The sequence below is a fragment of the Homo sapiens genome, chromosome 8 (genome assembly GCF_000001405.40).
Source record: "Homo sapiens chromosome 8, GRCh38.p14 Primary Assembly".
NCBI lineage: Eukaryota > Metazoa > Chordata > Mammalia > Primates > Hominidae > Homo > Homo sapiens.
Window position 1 is genome coordinate 124505058 of NC_000008.11, and position 19727 is coordinate 124524784.

At 39.1% G+C, this 19727-nt stretch overlaps 1 protein-coding gene and 1 non-coding gene across 19 annotated transcripts in view; both read right to left on the reverse strand.

The window, feature by feature from the left end:
- TATDN1 (TatD DNase domain containing 1) overlaps positions 1-19727 on the reverse strand; it is a 50595-nt gene that overhangs the window by 16564 nt on the left and 14304 nt on the right. For 8 of the 18 annotated variants that reach the window (NR_027427.1, XR_007060756.1, XR_007060757.1 and 5 more), the window contains exons 2-8: positions 17880-17945; positions 17094-17143; positions 13761-13824; positions 10830-10973; positions 10689-10731; positions 3546-3631; positions 3417-3457 (exon numbers count right to left, since the gene is read on the reverse strand). Coding sequence is in view for 15 of the 18 variants with exons in the window: in NM_001317889.1 (NP_001304818.1) it covers positions 3417-3457; positions 3546-3631; positions 10689-10731; positions 10830-10973; positions 13761-13824; positions 17094-17143; positions 17880-17945 (494 nt within the window). In the remaining 3 variants the exon portion in view is untranslated. Of the gene's footprint in view, positions 1-3416; positions 3458-3545; positions 3632-10688; positions 10732-10829; positions 10974-13684; positions 13825-17093; positions 17150-17879; positions 17946-19727 lie in introns of those variants that run through there. The other 10 variants (XM_011517331.4, XM_024447293.2, XM_047422300.1 and 7 more) reach the window with 8 other exon arrangements.
- On the reverse strand, positions 3458-3519 carry MIR6844 (microRNA 6844). The gene has a single exon (NR_106903.1). It is a non-coding gene; the product is annotated as a microRNA 6844 (primary transcript).

Below are 19727 nucleotides of genomic sequence, written 5' to 3' on the forward strand. Positions count from 1 at the left end.
GATACTTTTTTGTGGAAGAGAAATTACTTTTAAGAGGCAAGGCTGGGCCAGGCGCAATGGCTCACGCCTGTAACCCCAGCACTTTGGGAGGCTGAGGCTGGTGGATCACCTGAGGTTGGGAGTTCGAGACCAGCCTGACCAATGTGGAGAAAACCCATCTCTACTAAAAACACAAAATTAGCTGGGCATGGTGGCGCATGCTTGTAATCCCAACTACTCGGGAGGCTGAGGCAGGAGAATTGCTTGAACCTGGAAGGCGGAGGTTGCGTTGAGCTGAGATCACATCATTACACTCCAGCCTGGGCAACAAGAGTAAAACTCTGTCTCAAAAACAAAAACAAAACAAAAAAAGAGACAAGGCTGAAGAAATTCTTATAAATGGGTGAGACTGTTGCTTAAAAAGCATAAACTGTAATCTCAGCAATTTGGGAGGCCGAGGTAGGCAGATCACAAGGTCAGGAGATCAGCGAAACTGTCTCAAAAAAAAAAAAAAAAGCATAAACCATTATATAATCAATAATATCAGCTTAGCAAGCAGAAGGGATTGAGATGCTATTTCTCTCCTTCAAAGATATAGGGGTCAAGACATAGTTTTCATAGTTTGGATGTATTTATATAATCAAAAACAACATATAACAACAGCCCTCCTTTAAAAAGTAGGTTCACCTAAACAAGTGACATCACATTACTACTGAGTCCAGAGAGCCTGAATACACTATGGATAACATATTTCTCAACAATAAAGAAGCCTGCATTACACAGCTGCCTGCATTATTCTTTCCTTCACCATTTCCAGCTGACTAGAAAAGATGCCCTCCATTAATATCGAAATCATTTTAAAAGTGACTCCTCATAAACCATTTCAGAAAACTAGTTATTAATTATTTGGCAATTTCTTTTTTGGTAAAAGTCAAACATTTAGGTTGGATTTGTTGTTGCTTTTGTTAATTTTAAAAACTATTAATAGAACCCAAGTAAATTCTTATTTAGAAATAGGCTGGGCACAGTGGCTCCCATCTGTAATCCCAGCACTTTGGGAGGCCGAGGCAGGTGGATCGCTTGAGGTCAGGAGTTCAAGACCCACCTGGCCAACATGATGAAACCCTGTCTCTACTGAAAATACAAAAATTAGCCAGGCGTGGTGGTGCGTGCCTGTAGCCCCAGCTACTCGGGAGGCTGAGGCAAAAGAATTGCTTGAACTTGGAAGACAGAAGTTGTGGTGAGCCAAGATCGTGCTATTGCACTCCAGCCTGGGTGACAGAGCAAGGCTCTGTCTCAAAAAAAAAAAAAAAAAAAAAAGAAAAAGAAAAAAAGAAAAGAAATAAAGCAAATGGGCTGAGAGGTAGAGTCTGAAGGTTAGGATAAATACCACTAATAATCCCAACGGCATTAGTTAAAACTAAAACCCCTCTCAATTCTTAAGTACAGTTCCTACAGGATAAATTACAGAGTAAGTAAAAACAGGAAAAAATTACAGAGTTAGTACAAACAGGAAAAAAGTGCACAGTAATATTAACATTACAGCAATGCAGGATGCATACATATTACTAGTAGTATAGATGAGGCAGAGGTTGAACTTAGAGAATACGCATAAAACTGTCAACGTCAGGCCGCATGGGAATGCAAGTGCTTGGTGCTATTTCCTCTTTCCTTAGCAGGCATAGTGTAACTGTGATTTAATCTACCTGGATTACAGTTCTTTTGCTAGACACAGTCACTCACTGAGTCACTCTCCTGAAATTGCATATGAATATATGTATATCTGAGCATTTTTCTAAGGCAGGTTTCCAAAGGAGTCCATGATCGAAGAGACTAAAAATCATGGCTGGGCAAGGTGGCTCATGCCTGTAATCCTAGCACTTTGGGAGGCTGATGGGGGGAGGATCATGAGGTCAAGAGATCGAGACCATCCTGGCCAACATGGTGAAACCCCGTCTCTACTAAAAATACAAAAATTAGCTGGACGTGGTGGTGTGCACCTGTAGTCCCAGGTACTTGGGAGGCTGAGGCAGGAGAATTGCTTGAACCCAGGTGACGGAGGTTGCAGTGAGCTGAGATTGTGCCACTCCACTCCAGCCTGGTGACAGAGCGAGACTCCATCTCAAAAAAAAAAAAATCACTGCCATAGATATCGGAGGTATGTGGTTAGCAGATAGTATTTATGGGAAATGTCTCCAGAATAATGACTAAAATGGCTATATCAGAGAAGTGTTTAGTGCAGAATGCAAATTACAGAAAGGAGAATGACTCTCTAGATCAGAATAGTAGGTGAATACAGCGGACAAGAAATGAGAAAGGCAAACCTAAAACAAATGGTAAAATATTTCAAAACATAAAAATTAGTTTATATTTGCTCAAAATTTGGATGGAAGAACATTAAAGAACAGCTGACAGAAGAGACGAAGAATATCATGCACAGCATTAGGATGTGTAGAATTCAAGGGCCAGGCACAGTGGCTCACACCTGTAATCCCAACACTTTGGGAAGCCAGGGTGGGCAGATTGCTTGAGTTTAGGAGTTCGAGATCAGCCTAGGCAACATAGTAAAACTTCATCTCTACAAAATATACAAAAAAATTAGCTGGCCATGGTGGCACATGCCTGTAGTCCCAGCTACTTGGGAGGCTGAGGATGGCTTGATCCCGGGGAAGCAGAGGTTGCAGTGAGCTGAGATTGTGCCACTGCACTTCAGCCTGGATGACAGAGCCAGACCCTTTCTTAATAACCAAAAAAAAAAAAAAACAAAAAACACACACAAAAAACAAAAAAAATTTCACAGGGTTTTCTTGTGAATGGAATTCTGTACGCATTCTTGTACTTTGAACAAAGGAACTGTAATTAAAACTGATTTGTGTTTATGCCACACCTGGTCCATAAATTCAACAGTAAATTTACATGTCTTTCAAAGGATGGGAAAAGAAGCTCCTAATTCTATTGAATTCTATCTAATTCCTATGTTTTTCTTTGTTATTCCTTTTTAAAAAAAATTTAAATGTTGACATCTGAATTAGGGGCCATCCTTAATAACCAAGATGCTTTGTGTGTCACATAAATGTTAAGTATCCCTTATCCCAAGTGTGTGGGACCAAAAGTGTTTCATATTTCAGATTTTTTCAGATTTTGGAATATCTGCATATACATAAAAAGAAATCTTTGGGAAGGGACTCAAGTCTAAACATGAAATTCATTTATGTTTCACATACACCTTATACCACACCCTGAAGGTAAATATTTTAAATAATTTTGTGCGTGAAACAAAATTTGTGTACAATGAATAATCAGAAAGCAAAGGTGTCATTATCTCATGCCAGTGCTTAAAAAGGTTCAGATTTTGGAGCATTTTGTACTTGGGAGTATTTTGGATTTTTGGATTAGAGATGTTCAACCTGTATTAAAAATGACTATTTTATACTTACCACTCCCCCTACACACCGATCTCTATTTCTTTTCATTATGTCTGTGAATTAAAAACAAAGAACTTTTAGCAAATAGCTTGATTTCTACAAAATTCTTAAGTTCTGAATGAGACTTTGGTTTTAACTCACCCAAAAATTCAGCATGTGAGTTTCGACAATGAAGAAACATTGGTAATTTTGTTTGTTCTGACAGTTCAAACTGTTTTTCAAAATATCTGCATAATGCAAAAAAAAAAAATTCTCATTACAAATTGTATTTTAGCATGAGGAAGGTAATGATGTCAAAAGAGCTTTTAAATTAAAGGTATTTAATTCTCTAGAAATTACAGGACAAAAATCATGAATATTTAAAGCACATCAGGCTTATCAAAGGGCTTTTATAACTTACAACTTCTGGAAAGAAATACTTCATTTTCTGGGCTTACAAAATTATCTGGGCCCTTTAATTTTCAGAAAGTAACACCACTGGCCCCTTGCCACTGGGAGCACCATCAGTGGGAGTCAACTCACCAAGCGAGAAGCCCAGGAGAGCTTCATACTGCATGCTAATCTATTCCATTTTGCAACCAGTTTTTTATGTGCTGTTATAAAAGAAGTTATTGCCACTGGGCAAAATGAACAAGGTTTCCCTCAAAAATGAAATCTAAGTATTTGCTAAACAGCAAATAACTCAATTATGCTATTAAAAAAAGAAAATTACATGATAAAGTGGTAGCCCTGAATATCTTAAAGAGTACTTGATAAGAAGGTTTTTCCAAGTACCAGATACCATTGTCTCATTTGATCCTCAAAATAACCTGAGTATAAAAGCTGGTGTCAGAGAGGTGTAGTACTTTGTCCAAGATAACAATACCTGGCATGGCCAACTTGGAACAGAACTTCACTGCTCTAATTCCAAGTCCCAGCCTAAACGACAAAAACCTGTTACGTTTTCAAGAAGCTTCCTTCTGGTCCCGGAGTATAATGACAATATTCAGAGGATACAACGAATGTTCATTCTGTTTGTCTTTTCACTTCAACACAGTGCTCCCCCTTGTTCTCACAAATGGTAGGTTCAACTGAATCAGGATAACAGGTGGCTTATTATTTTCTTAAATGTGCTTACCTCTTCTAAGCACTTTAATTTGGGGAAACAATTTCTCTGTTTAACTTAAGCCTCTCTTGCTATATTTTTCTATATCATATTTCCTGATGTGCAGGACTATTTTACCCCCTTTGCTCTCTTGAAAATGCTAAATTTTAAAATTAGAAATAGAAATGTACTTCTTAAGAAGCAGTCTTCAGGCCGGGCGTGGTGGCTCACACCTGTAATGCCAGCACTTTGGGAGGCCAAGGCGGGTGGATCACTCAAGGGCAGGAGTTCAAGACCAGCCTGGCCAGCATGGTGAAACCTCGTCTCTACTAAATATACAAAAATTAGCCGGCATGTTGGCACATGCCTGTAATCCCAGCTATTCGGCAGGCATGAGAATCTCTTGAACCCAGGGTCAGAGGTTGCAGTGAGCTGAGATTGTACCACTGCACTCCAGCCTGGGTGAGAGAGCAACATTCTGTCTCAAAAAAAAAAAAAAAAATTAAAAATTAAAAAAATAGAAATAGTCTTCCTAAAATAGGTCGTCTATGTCTGTATTACCAAATGTTTGGGTTTTAAAATCTCCTTTTCAGATTCTGCTGGGTTAGAATAAGCAAAAATATTTTCCTTTCATTAACAAAGTGCTGAAATTTTGCAGTGTAGGAAATATTAACGACAACTTGGACAAAAAGAGATTTTGATAATATAACCAGTCACTATTTCCATAACCTCTAAAGTAAACCAAATGTCAGCAGTTAAGTGTGCACTAGTCATTATGTCAACTTTACTAATATATTTGGCTCTGACTACACACAGCAGGCGGTACTCTTCATTGTGTGCACTGCTCCACGCTGTACTGGTTATTTTTTCCACACACAATTCCATGGACCAAACCACATGACCAAGCTACAAATTCACAGTATCTAATGGTCGGATGGAAAATTAGCTTCCTATAGGAATGTAGGCAAAAGTACAGTTTATGAAAATAACAGAGGCCAGCTGGGTGTGTGGTTCAGGCCTGTAATCCCAGCACTTTGGGAGGCTGAGGTGGGTGGATTGCTTGAGCTCAGGAGTTCGAGACCAACCTGGGCAACATGGTGAAACCCCATCTCTACAAAAAATACAAGAATTAGCCAGGTGTGGTAGCATATGCCTACAGTCTCAGTTCTTGGGAGGCTGAGGTGGGAGGATTGCTTGAGCCTGGCGAGGTCAAGGCTGCGGTGAGCCATGATCACACCACTGCACTCCAGCTTGGATGACAGAGTGAGACCCTGTCTCAAAGAAAAAAGAAAAAGAAAATAACAGAAGCCCAAGCAATGGGCCCACAGAATTTTACATAATTCAAGAAAAGAAAGGTCCCTGAAGTCATGCTAGCTACGTATCATAAAGAAGCCATGTGGTAAAAAAAATTATTCCTAATGATACAAATTGAGGATAACTAGTACTGAACATCAAACGACTATTATCTTTAGAGAAGAAAAACCCGCCATGGTAACTAGAAATAACTGTATAAGTTACAGGGTAGGAATTGGCATCTATTAAGAGACTTCTCTGCCTGTTTTACTCACTTATTATTTTTTTAAAGTTCATAAATGAAAATAATTTTCCACTTGAGTTATTTGCTCATCTTAGTGAAGCTTCTGATTTTATTACTGCTTCTTACAGTTGAGGTTTAACTATCTAACGACAAGAGCTGGAAAAGTTCAGCTTCAGGAGCAGTTGTTATTAATTAGGATCAAGGCAAATCCAAAAAGCCCAGTGAGTTTCATGGGTATACCTCAACACAAGTAGTAATCCCTCCTCTGTAAGCTGCTTGATGGCAACATGGCCTCAATTGCTCATCTCTAGGGTCCCCTAAATCCCCAAAGGATTGTTTTAAAATCTTCTTGTTGTAGTTTTTAAGACCTGCACAGTGTTAACATTTTAAAGCCCCAAGAAAAATGCCCAAAGCAAATTCCTCCTACCCAAGAGAACAGAGCTCTAAATTGCAACAAGGAAAGGAGTGTAGCATAAGGCCAGGAAATTGAAAATACAGGGTATGGCTTAAAGGATAAACTTTCCATAAGTAGATCAGGCCTTTCCTTGTTTTCACTCTTTGCTTCTCTTTCTTAGTCTTTAAAAAATACTTTTTCCAGAAAAGGTCTAGGTACTAAAACAAGAAAAAAGTATTAAAAAAAAAAACTTTTAAAAGTTCCAAACAAAAACAATAGCTAGCATCTTCCTTTAGGGTGGTAATTATTTCTAGTATGAGGAATGTAACAACAGCCATGATTGTGCACATACTCTGCATGACTCATGTCACTATGGGCTTTATGTGCCTTATGTTAAGAAAGGTAGGCAGCAATCTCCCCATTTTAAAGGGGATGCACAAAGGGATGAAGTGACACCAAAGGCAGTTGTAAATCTCACCCAAAGATCTGCTGATTCCAAAGCTCATCCTTTTAACATGGTCATACACCGCCTTCACTTACCATTATTTTTCAGACACTACATCTATTGTATATTAATTTTTCTGTCTTGCCCCCTAATTTTCTATTTTTCTTTTCTCATACATCTCCTTTTTCCTGACTACATATTTACTTAAAAACAAATCATGGCCGGGTGCAGTGGCTCATGCCTGTAACCCTAGCACTTTGGGAGGCCGTGGTGGGCGGATCACTTGAGGTCTGGAGTTCGAAACCAGCCTGGCCAACATGGTGAAACTCTGTCTCTACTAAAAATACAAAAAAATTAGCCAGGCATGCTGATGGGCACCTGTAATCCCAGCTACTTGGGAGGCTGAGGCAGGAGAATTGCTTGAACCTGGGAGGTGGAGGTTGCAGTGATCTGAGATTGCACCACTGCACTCCAGCCTGGGGGACAGAGTGAGACTCCATCTCAAAAAACAAACAAACAAACAAACAAACACAATCATACACTGGTTGTTCCAGATGGTAGAAAAGTGCAGACCAAAATCTGAAGTCTTCCAAAAATAAACCCAATAGTGAAAGCTGAATTATAGGCTTTTTATCCATGCTGCTCAAAGGGAATAAAAAAGAAAAGAACCTTCCCTCTGTATTAAATATTCAACAGACATTTACTAAGTGCCTACCATGTGCTGAGAGTACTGTGCTAAGTGCTATGGAACTGTCACATGAGTAAGACTTGGTGTGTGCCTTTGAGGAACTCAAAGACACCTGTCTGTTGCGGGGAGGAAGGGATAATGAAAACCCATTTCTGTACAACATGGTAAGTGCTGAAACAAGTAGAGTGCTGTGTATACAAAACAGATTGCATGCTGTGAGTATATGCGAGGGGAAAAGGAGTGAGGGGCAGAGAATGTGGGTATTTGTTTCCTTAACAATAATCAAAATGTGATTGTTACTAGTGTGTCTTTTTTTTTTCTTTTGAGCGGAATCTTTCTCTGTTGCCCGGGCTGGAGTCCAATGTCACGATCTTGGCTCACTGCAACCTCCTCCTCCCCAGTTCAAGCAATTCTCCTGCCTCAGCCTCCCAAGTAGCTGGGATTACAGGTGCTCGCCACCACGCCTGGCTAGTTTTTGTTTTTAGTAGAGACGGGGTTTCACCATGTTGGTAAGGCTGGTCTTGAACTCCTGATCTCAGGTGATCGGCCTGCCTTGGCCTCCCAAAGTGCTGGAATTATAGGCATGAACCACCGCACCCGGCTGTTTTTTTAACCAAGTCATTTGATGTTTTATTATTAAAATTTTAAAAATCTCAAGTAGAACTGCCTATCTTATCAAAATTTCCTCCTACTTTGTCATTAGCTTATCCACTCTGGAAGAAGCCAGTGTCATATGCTGTCACCTTAGAGCATCCCCCAGAAAGTCAGTCCTTCCCTCTGCTGTTCACATACTTTAGTAAGCACTTCCAACCTATTTTAATTATTTATGTCCTCTCTTGGAAAAAGTCTTATTCTTCTTTGTATCATGCTGAGGAGGCACTTGGTAATCATTTACTGAATGTAGTTTGAACCTCTCTATTAGCAATTAACGCTTGGCATGTGAGTTCAAGCACAAGCTGTGATATGCATATTCTAAGATCAGACGCTATTCTGATGATGGTGAAGAATCTTCAGAACAGTTAAATTAAACTGATACTGTCAATGTTTTCGATTAATCCCAAAAGTGAGTTTAAAGTATTGAGGTTGCATTTTAGAATCAGTTCTAACTCATTTTGGATGAAAAGTCATATGGGCAAAAAAACACGGGGACTCTGCCATTGCCCTTGCTTGTCATAACACAGTCTATTAGACTTACAAGGCTTATCCTGACCAAAACCAGACATGAAAGTTGAGGAATATGATATCTGGGCTTAACCTAAAGAACTATTAAAGAGAACTGTTTTTCTATTTCAATGTGAACACGAGAACTTTTAAGGTTAAGTGAGCTGGCCTACATAATATTCGACAGAGGTATAGGGCTTCAGTAACCCTGCTAGTAACCACATGAATGTCCCTGAAAGGCACAGCAAATCAGCAAATAATATACCACAAACTAAACAGTTCTACAAGGGATGTACAAATGAGCGACCTAAAAGAGAGAGTAGGTATCCACAGAGCATTACGTTAACCCATCCTATTCTACTTGGTTATAGATCTTCACACTTCAGAACTTTGGAGCTTGAGGTCTAGGGTATGACAGACTCCACTAGCAGATCTGCTCCTCCCCAAAGTGATTTTCAACCAGGGGGTACATATCAGAATCCCATTTGTGGGGAGCAGGGAGGGAAGCGGGAGGAAGTACACTTTCCTCATGCGTAATTTAAAAAAATCCCTTCAGGCCATCAAGTCACTGGCTTAATCATATGATCATATCACCATATGACAAAATTATTAATTGTTAAACATTATGATATAGCTGGATGGTATCTTAAGAGAGAATCTGATCCTAATTCTTCTTTGTGTATAAGAAACTAAGGAGGACAGAGGATTGTTTATTCTTAAAGGTCTCTAGGGACAGATATTCTACCTTATTCATATTTCTGCATACTATGAGCTCTCAGCAGTGGCTGGCACACAGTACTCCATAAATATTTGTTCAATGGATGAATAAATTAACCCCCTTTAGAAGCTCAGTCTAATGTTTTATCATTTTCATAATTAAGATGTTTTTGAAATTCAACAAAATGCTTACGTTTTAAATTCAGACTGTGACCTAAATTTTCTTTTCAATCTATAACACTCACCCACCAGTATGATGACAGGAGCTCCAAATTTAGCTCCAGGCAATGGGTTACAGGAAGTCCTGCAGGGTCGTGAGCTTTGGAGTTTTCTCAGAAGCCACCATTCAACATGGCTCCTATTAAAGGAATCTCACAGTTCCAAACTAGCAATATTCAATGCCCAGCAAGAGTAAAATAAGCTTTTCTAGCTTTGGTGATTGATCCTATAATACTTTTGTGGGTTTTTTCTTGCTGGTTTTTTTTAGAGACGGAGTCTCCTTATGTTGCTCAGGCTGGTCTGGAACTCTTGAGCTCAAGCAATTCTCCTGCCTCTGCCTCTCAAACAGCTGCGACTACAGACGCAGGCTGCTGTGCCTGGCTTGTAATACACTTTTAATATCCTTTGCTCTTAAATTATATCTCCCAATTTGGGAGGCCGAGGCGGGTGGATCATTTGAGGTCAGGAGTTTGAGACCAGCTTGACCAATATGGTGAAACCCAATTTTTACTAAAAACATAAAAATTAGCCGGGCATGGTGGCACATGCCTGTAATCCCAGCTACTCGGGAGGCTGAGGCAGGAGACTCATTTGAACCCAGGAGGTGGAGGTTGCGGTGAGCTGAGATCACGCCTCTGCACTCCAGCCTGGGCGACAGAGAGACTCTGTCTCAAAAAACAAAACAAAACAATCACATTCCCCAAAATAATTTAATTCATTCCATTGGAACTGTTCACGTATGAATGCGTCTGTTAAACAAGCAAACAGAAAATGTAAAATCTCTATCATGTAAAACTCATCCCTAATTTCTACCATTACAATAAAATTAAATGGTTAATCAACCAGGGAACTATGTGCTTCCATCCCTTATGAATTACATGCAAGTATGCATGGAATTTGTTTCACTTACTTTTGATATACAAAGGGAAAAACAAAAATATCCTCATGCTTAATCCAACTATACTCTCACCTGATACAAGATATTTTAAAAATCACTCATGATTTTACAATAATTTGTAAAGCCAACAAATTTCCTTACTTGAGTTGAGTATCTTTGGGACAAAACTGCAGTCGGTCAAAATCTTTAAAAAGATAAAGAAGAATAATTACTCCTAACTTATACAGAACAAATTACTTATTTTCAAACAATGTCACTCTAAGAGGCGAGGCTGGCACTCACCAAGTCCGCATTCTCCTATTGCCACAACTTTCCCTTTATTGTTTTCAGCAAGATTTAGCAACTCCTTTAAGTAAAGATCAGGGTTATTCTTTTCAAATTCACCACATCTTGTAGGATGACATCCAACTGTACTGAAAAACATACCTAACAGAAAATAATGTCTTAGGATTATTTTCAAAGTATTTTCTCATATTTATATTTATTATGATATTTAGAGGATATCAAGTAATTTCAACTGGTTTTCAACAATGGCAATAAATTACTCAAATTATAAGAACTGCATTATGTTAATCATATGACAATTTTTAGAATACCTAAACAAAGTAGGAGATGAATATGAAAATTGCTTTAATGTATTAATAAAATAATTCAACTTTTTCTAAAGCTTGGCATTTAGGGCTGTAGAATGCAAAGTGAAATTTTTTTTTTTTTTTGAGACAGGGTGCCACTGTGTCACCCAGGCTGGAGTGCAGTGGTGCTATCACAGCTTACTGCAGCCTTGACCTCCTGGGCTCAAGCGATCCTCCCACCTCAGCCTCCCACGTAACTGGGGCTACATACGCATGCCACCACACCTGGCTAATTTTTAATTTTTTTTTTTTTGGTAGAGACAGGGTTTCGCTACGTTGCCCAGGCTGGTCTCGAACTCCTGAGCTCAAGCGATCCACCTGCCTGGCCTCCCAAAGTGCTGGGATTACAGGCCTGAGCCACCATGACCAGCACTGATTTTATCTTTTATATTCACCATTCATGTGACTATCTTGATTGGTATATTTTTGTTTGTTTAACACCTATTCCTCCATTATTGATTCATGTATTTAATATAGCAATAAAAATGTATTCCCTTAAACAGGTTAATAGTGGGGGCGATTTAAAGTGGTGGAAAGGGGGATTTGTTTTTCTAGCAAGTAAATGAGGTTCACTTATTCGGAGGAGACTCTGACAGCTTGACTTGCATAGAATACAAATGAGAAGTCAAAAACACTTTTTGAATGGCTTAGCTGAGCCCGAACCATGGGAAAGGTATCAAGCTTTCCTCAGGCTCTCATGTAGATGTTTAGAAAAAAAGGAAGCAGCACTTTTAAAGCTGTAAGAACAGAAGTTACATGGAGAGGAGTGGAAGAGGGCTGGTAATGGAGGTGGGAGAACTTTAAAAAGCATAGCTGTTTGGGGATGAAAAGTAAGGATAAAATGTTCTTATATATTTCAAAAACTCCCTGGAAGATAGTCTATCTTTAATCACTAACAAAAAGTGTCAATGGGGTGGGTGAGGTGGCTTACGCCTGTAATCCCAGCACTTTGGGAGGGCAAGCCGGGCAGATCACGAGGTCAGGAGTTCAAGACCAGCCTGACCAACATGGTGAAACCCCGTCTCTACTAAAGATACAAAAATTAGCTGGGTGTGGTGGCACACGCCTGTAATCCCAGCTACTCAGGAGGCTGAGGCAGGAGAATCACTTGTACCCAGGAGGCAGAGGTTGCCGTGAGCCGAGATCGTGCCATTGCACTCCAGCCTGGGTGATAGAACAAGACTGTCTCAAAAAAAAAAAAAAAAAGAAAAAGTGTGAATGGATCCTAAAAGACAAGTGTGGATTTTAGAGAGATTTCCATAAAAATATAGCTTTTAGTAAGTTTTCATACATAAAGGAAACACATCAGTATTTTAAAATACAAAATTTAAAAATTATGTGGAATGTTTAATTCCTCAGTGTCTAGCACGTAAGATAATGCAAAAAAAAGTGAAATTCGTGAATGCCAGATAAATGAGGTTTTACCTAACTAGGATTCCTTTAATAATCAGTCTTAAAACTTTTAAGATTTTAAACAAATGCAAAATGTATGAACATAAAGCAAGGATATGAGAGATTATATAGTGTTATTATTTGCATTCCTGGTACCTTGCACAGTATCTGGTCCATCTAGTAAAAATTTAATAAAATGGCCCTTCACAGCTTAAGTTAAAAAAGAGTAAATAAAAAGCAACTCGTATCTTAAACACGTTAAAACACACACATGAATTCCACATCAAAAACACCTGAGGTTGGCTGGGCACGGTGGCTCACGCCTGTAATCCCAGCGCTTTGGGAGGCCGAGGCAGGCGGATCACGAGGTCAGGAGATCAAGACCCATCTTGGCTAACACAGTGAAACCCCTTCTCTACTAAAAATACAAAAAATTAGCTGGGCATGGTGGCAGGCACCTGTAGTCCCAGCTACATGGGAGGCTGAGGCAGGAGAATGGCATGAACCAGGGAGGTGGCGCGCGCAGTGAGCCGAGATTGCGCCACTGCACTCTAGCCTGGGCGACAGAGTGAGACTCTATCTCAAAAAAAAAAAAAAAAAAAAAAAAAAAAAAAGGCCGGGTGCAGTGGCTCACGCCTGTAATCCCAGCACTTTGGGAGGCTGAGGCGGGTGGATCACGAGGTCAGGAGATCGAGACCATCCTGGCTAACATGGTGAAACCCCGTCTCTACTAAAAATACAAAAAATTAGCCTGGCGTGGTGGCGGGCGCCTGTAGTCCCAGCTACCCGGGAGGCTGAGGCAGGAGAATGGTGTGAACCTGGGAGGTGGAGTTTGCAGTGAGCCGAGATCGCACCACTGCACTTCAGCCTGGGTAACAGAGTGAGACTCCGTCTCAAAAAAAAAAAAAAAACACACCTGAGGTTAAACTGTGTACCTGGAGAACTTTATTCTCATTAGCTGAAATCTTAAAATAATCTTCATTGAGCAGTATGAAACAGTTTTATAAACATCTGATATACCAATGAGTACTTTGAATTTTGTCATCTTAATCATGTCCCATTTAAATCAGTCCATTTTCCTATTGTTTCCAGTCATGATCCATTGTATTGTACCTGAAGCAGTTTTCAGAAAGACTTCTTCAAAATTACTTAATTCATTTTTTTTTTGGTAAAAGAAATATGAGGATACCATTTGTTTGTGCCAAATGCAGTGCATCTTTACTGTCTTGTAGATTTCCACCTGTAATCATAAACTGAAATAGAAAGAAAATAAAATAAGCTGACTTTAATAGGGCAGCAATAACAGTTTCCTAAACATGCCTTCCTACCACTTCCTTATTCCAGAATGCTCTTTCCTCTGTGACTGCCACACACCTACCCTTTAAAATTCAGCTGGGAGATTACCTCCTATGCAGAGTAGTGCCTGACTACACCTCAGGGATGTATGTATGTGTGTGTGCATGTAGAGGTGCAGAATTCATCACTAGACTCTGTTAAAATGTATTTATATACCCACCTTTCCTATTAGACAATGCATTCCTTGAGGACAGAGATCAGGTGTTATGAAAGCGTGAATAACGAAATCAATGATTCAATAGTGTTGATTGATTCAACAGTTCTCCAGGTGTAGTCTGGTAACTCCCAGTAGGTATGTGAAGTCAAAACTATTTTCCTAACAATAATAAGACACTTTCTGTCTTTTTCACTCTCACTCTACTGCAAGTGTCCACAAGGTATTCAAGAAGCTACACGATGTTTGACACCACCAGAGACTGACTACAGAAAAAGATATGAAAATTCAGCAGGCTTCTAGTAACACAGTCATTAGAGATTTGAAAAAACATACAACTGTACTCATGTTGCTAATTTTTTTGTTCTGGAATATACTTATTTTTCATAAAAATATGCTATTTATGTTATCCAGTAGTTTCTTATTTTAAAAGGAATATTTAAAATATTTTGTTTTAATTTTTAATATAGTATGTATCAGTAGGTAAGACTCACACAAACAAAAGCTCTTTGGGGGTCCTCAATAATAAAGAATGTGAAGTGGTTTTGAGAGCAAAAGGTTTGAGAATCAGTGAGTTAATGCATGCTAATGAATTCTCTGTAGGAAAACGTATGGCTTTTGGCAAATAAGCATACTTCTGCATAGACCCATTAGAGTCCGCTCAGTAATTAGAATGCCATCTTTCCTAATCTGTTAAAATGAAAATGTCACTAAAGAGTTATGTGTTGATAGTGAGAGCACTGAAGCAGTGCTGCGTAAGGGGCGCCTTCTTCTGAAGACGTGATTCAAGTATAATGATGTATATTTTTGTAAAGCATACTTCAAAAGTCTCACTAAAATGAATTCATTCTAGGTACAACTTAGGGAGAAAACACAAAACGAAGGTAGAATTGCAAATGATAAATAGATATTTTCATATAGCTATTTAAATCTTTAATATGATTAGCTATTGCATATCCATTCCGGAAACATAGCCATAATTAAATCCTTGACTATCTGTAAAGCAGAAGATGTAAGGCAGGGCGCAGTGGCTCACGCCTATAATCCCAGCACTTTGGGAGGCTGAGGCAGATGGATCACCCGTGGTCAGGAGTTTGAGACCATCCTGGCCAACATGGCGAAACCCCGTCTCTACTGAAAATACAAAAATTAGCCAGGCGTGGTGGCAGGCCCCTGTAGTCCCAGCTACTTGGGAGGCTGAGGCAGGAGAATCACTTGAACCCGGGAGGCAGAGGTTGCAGTGAGCCGAGATCGTGCCACTGCACTCCAGCCTGGGGGACAGAGCGAGACTCGCCTCCAGAAAAAAAAAAAAAGACTAATAAAAATATTGGGAAAACTTTCTTGTTACTAACATACCTAAAACTTTAATACTAGAACAGATGCCTACATCCAGTATTTAAATTACGTAAAATACTAACCAAGTATACTTTTTATTTTACCTACAACTTTACTAAATAGTTGAAAAAAACGGCAAGACAAGAGGGCATCATCTCCTCTCCCAGTGTATAAAATAACGATGATGGGCCTGGCGCGGTGGCTCAAGCCTGTAATCCCAGCACTTTGGGAAGCCAAGGCTGGCAGATCACGAAGTCAGGAGATCGAGACCATCCTGGCCAACGTGGTGAAACCCCGTCTCTACTAAAAATACAAAAAAATTAGCCGGGTGTGGTGGCGGGCGCCTGTAGTCCCAGCTACTCGGGAGGCTGAGGCAGGAGAATGGCGTGAACCCGGGAGGCAGAGCTTGCAGTGAGCCGAGATCATGCCACTGCACTCCAGTCTGGGTGACAGAGCGAGACTCCGTCTCAAAAAAAAAAAAAAAAAAAAAAGATAACGATGATGATGATCTCATGGTGGTGGCTTCCATCATACACATAATGAAGGTTGTTTATGCCAGGTATAATACCAAATGCTTTACACTCAATATTTTATTTAGCCTTCATAACAACTCTATTAATTAAGTACTATTATCATTCTCATTTTACAGATGAGAAAACTGAAGTCTAGTGAGATAAAAGACTCCAGGTTATAAAGCTATGAAAAATGAAGTAGGGGCTGGATACCACGTTTGTTATGCCCTAACTATGCTTTTAACTACTACACTATAAATGCAAGGTATTGAATTAAATTTCAGTTTGGAACCATGTCCAAGTAAAAATCACTTCAGTTCTGTCATTCCTAAGTGTGTGTGTGTGAATAAACATTAAGATTACTCATGGCTAACACATGAAAATTTAGGAGCCTAGTATTTCAGAGTCTGCAGAAAAGCATTGTTTAAAGTGATTTACCAAGCAGAGTGACTATAATGAGAAATTAATGTAACTTTTATCTTTTCATATTATTTGTGAATAATAACAAATAAAAGTTTAGAGTTGGAGTCTGCAAACTCATTTAGTCAGCAGTGTCACTTTCCAAAACAAGTTATTCATCTTGGAGGTAGCAGCTACCAAGTGTCCTGGTAGCATAGTATGGAATTTAACCTTATTTCTTAGTGTATGTGTGGGCTAGCTCTCTGTTTTAAAGCTAATTTAAAGAAATATCTATTCATTTGCTTAGTAGAACTCTCTAAAAAGCCGTAGGCATTTTATTACTGTAAAAATGAAAGTTTTACTCCATTATTTAAATGGTATGCCCAAACTATAAATAGCTACACTTGGTGTCAGGTACATGTATTTTTGATTATTGCTTAATTCTGACAAATGCTAAATTATATTATAAAATTGATTAAAAGTTGCCTCTTAAGCCTGGTAATTCACATAGGTTTAAAAAATTTTTTTTCAAGGAGCTTTTGCCATTTATCATATATAAAAACAATACATGAGATTTGTGTAACTTAAATTGCTATGAACAGAGTATTTTGATATTTTGTTTCAATTAACTTTCTAATATCACAAGTAGACAATATGTACCCCAACTGTGGCATTGGTTTGTTCCTTTCTATTCTGCAAAATTTTAACTAAAATTTAGTTAAAAAATGAATTTTAAAAATCTCAAAAATAACAAAATGGATGTTACCTTTTTAACACCAATCTCGACAGCTCTCCCTATTACATCCTGTAAGTCATCTGTAAAAGATAAACTCTGTATTATGAAAACCTGGCAGACAAAAATTTGACTTTTTTTTTTAGCTTCTGTGCAAATGGCTATTTGAAGTTTTATATTTGAAATTATAAACTTCTACAGGTAAGAAGACCTTAATTAAACTTTATTATAAATGTTCATGATCATGGTTTATCAATAAATGTGTTTCACTTTGTTTACAGGTTTATCCAAAATGCATAATGAGTTCTTTTTTTTTGAGACGGAGTTTCGTTCTTGTTGCCCAGGCTGGAGTGCAATGGTGTGGTCTCGGCTCACTGCAACTTCCACCTCCTGGGTTCAAGTGATTCTCGTGCCTTAGCCTCCCAAGTAGCTGGGATTACAGGTGCATGTCACCATGCCCAGCTAATTTTATTGTATTTTTAGTAGAGATGGGGTTTCACCATGTTGGCCAGGCTGGTCTCGAACTCCTGACCTCAGGTGATCCACTTGCCTCAGCCTCCCAAAGTGCTGGGATTACAGGCATGAGCCACTGCGCCCAGCCAGGAGTTCTTTATTATTTCAATTTTAAGAGCGGATTATGTTGCCCAGGCTGCTCTTGAACTCCTGAGCTCAGGCAATCCTCCTGCCTCAGACTCCCAAAGTGCTGAGATTACAGGTGTGAGCCACAAGACTCAGCTTGAATTATGCTTTTCAAGATCTCCTGAGGCAGAAAATTTGTCTTCATAGGAAACTATTCGCCTTAATAAAGGAAATATTTACCTTGATGCTTTTGAACCCCCCTATAAATTCCTCTGAACATAGGGTCAGTCAAGTTGATACCAATATCTGTAGAAAGCAAAAGTCACTGATTAATTATTGAGTCTCTACATGAAACTTGTACTTAAATAAAAAGCTTCTGTTACTAAACTTTTTGTTCACACACTCATCTACTCAAACAATATCCAAGTGCCTACCACTTGTCAACTACTGTGCTAGAAACATGGGATACAAAGATGAATAGGATATAATTCCTGCTTTCAAGAAACTCACCGCAGAACTGGTAAGGCAGATCCATTATCAGACAATTATGAAATATTAGAAGTAAACACTGGTACTATGGGACACAGAAGAGGAACACCCAACCTAGTCTGGTGGCTGGCTCAGAAGAGGCTTCCAGAAAGAAGTCATCATTGAACTGAATCTTAAAGGATGAGTGACTGTTATCCAGTGGAAGAGAGGTAACTGCACAAAGAGGAAGCAGCGGGAGCAAAGCCTTCAAGATGGGAAAGAGCACAGTGCTTGTAAAGAGCTACAGGCTGTTCTGGCTGCTGGAGAGAAGAACAATTGGCCCTCTGTATCTCTGGGATCTGGATCTGCAGATTCAGCCAACCACAGGTCGATTGAAAATATTAGAAAATAAAAATAACAACACAACAATAAAAAATAATATAAATAAAAGCACAGTAAGGTATAAAAACCATTTACATAGCATTTACATCAAATTAGGTATTTTAAGTAATCTAGACATGATTTAAAGCATACATGAGGATATGCACAGGTTACAGGCAAACACCAAGCCATTTTATGTAAGGGTTTTGGTATCTGCAGGAGGTTCTGGAACCAGTCTCCTGCCGATACTGAGGGAAGACAGTGTAAGGAAGGGAGAGGTCAGAAGACACCAGACTCAGTTATGGTACAGACACTTGTTTTTAAAATACTGGATGCAACAGAAAGCTCTGTTCTGCTGTAGAATATAAGGGAACATGGGGAACAACAAGATATGAAGTCAGACTGTGACTGGTCACAGGCAAGAAAAAAAAATGCCTCCCTTATTGAAAATACACATAATTTAGCTTTTAGCAGGAGGAGAATCTCAAAATTTGCGGTGGTGGTAGGCAGCTGATTACCAACAGACTCCCTACATTATTTCTGCCAAGTTTCAGCTTCTTGGTATGTTCTCATTCTAATTTCTGCCAAGTTGGTCCCCAGGAGTGTCTGCTCCACCAATAAGACACACCTTGAAAGTGAATGGGAGTTTAGAAAATTTAAGAGACAGTGAAGAGAGTATTCCAGGCATTTGAAACAATAGGGGAAAAAGTAAAATGCAGAAAACTACAAAGATATTTGGGCACTAACATGTCAACAAAGATGGGTGGGATGTGGTACCCTTTAAAAGGGCTATTAACATATAAACATCATCTAATACTATACATACAATATAGAAGTTTGGTGGAATGGCCCAATCCAAAGAATTACTATCTAGTTTCTTTATAAGTAAGTACAGGAAATTAGATAAATGGGGCAGACTGAGAAAGGAAACCCAGGGAAGAGGGGAGAGGCCTTTCTGCCTAAAATAATCCTTCAGAGAGGTTTAGTCTAGGGTCACCGATCATCACTGATCATTAGGAAAACAGAAATGGTCTGTATCTCTTCTAGACCATTTCCCCTTTGTGCAGTGTTAAGCAAACAATTATTCATAACACTTGTCAAAGACTCTGAGGAAGCCTTTATTCAAGAGAGACTACTGACAGAAGGGAAGGTTTTGCAGAAGGGGGAGGGACTGGGCTCAATTTTGAATACAAGGACAAGTGAGGATTTATTGCCACCAAGTAGAATGGGGATCAACAG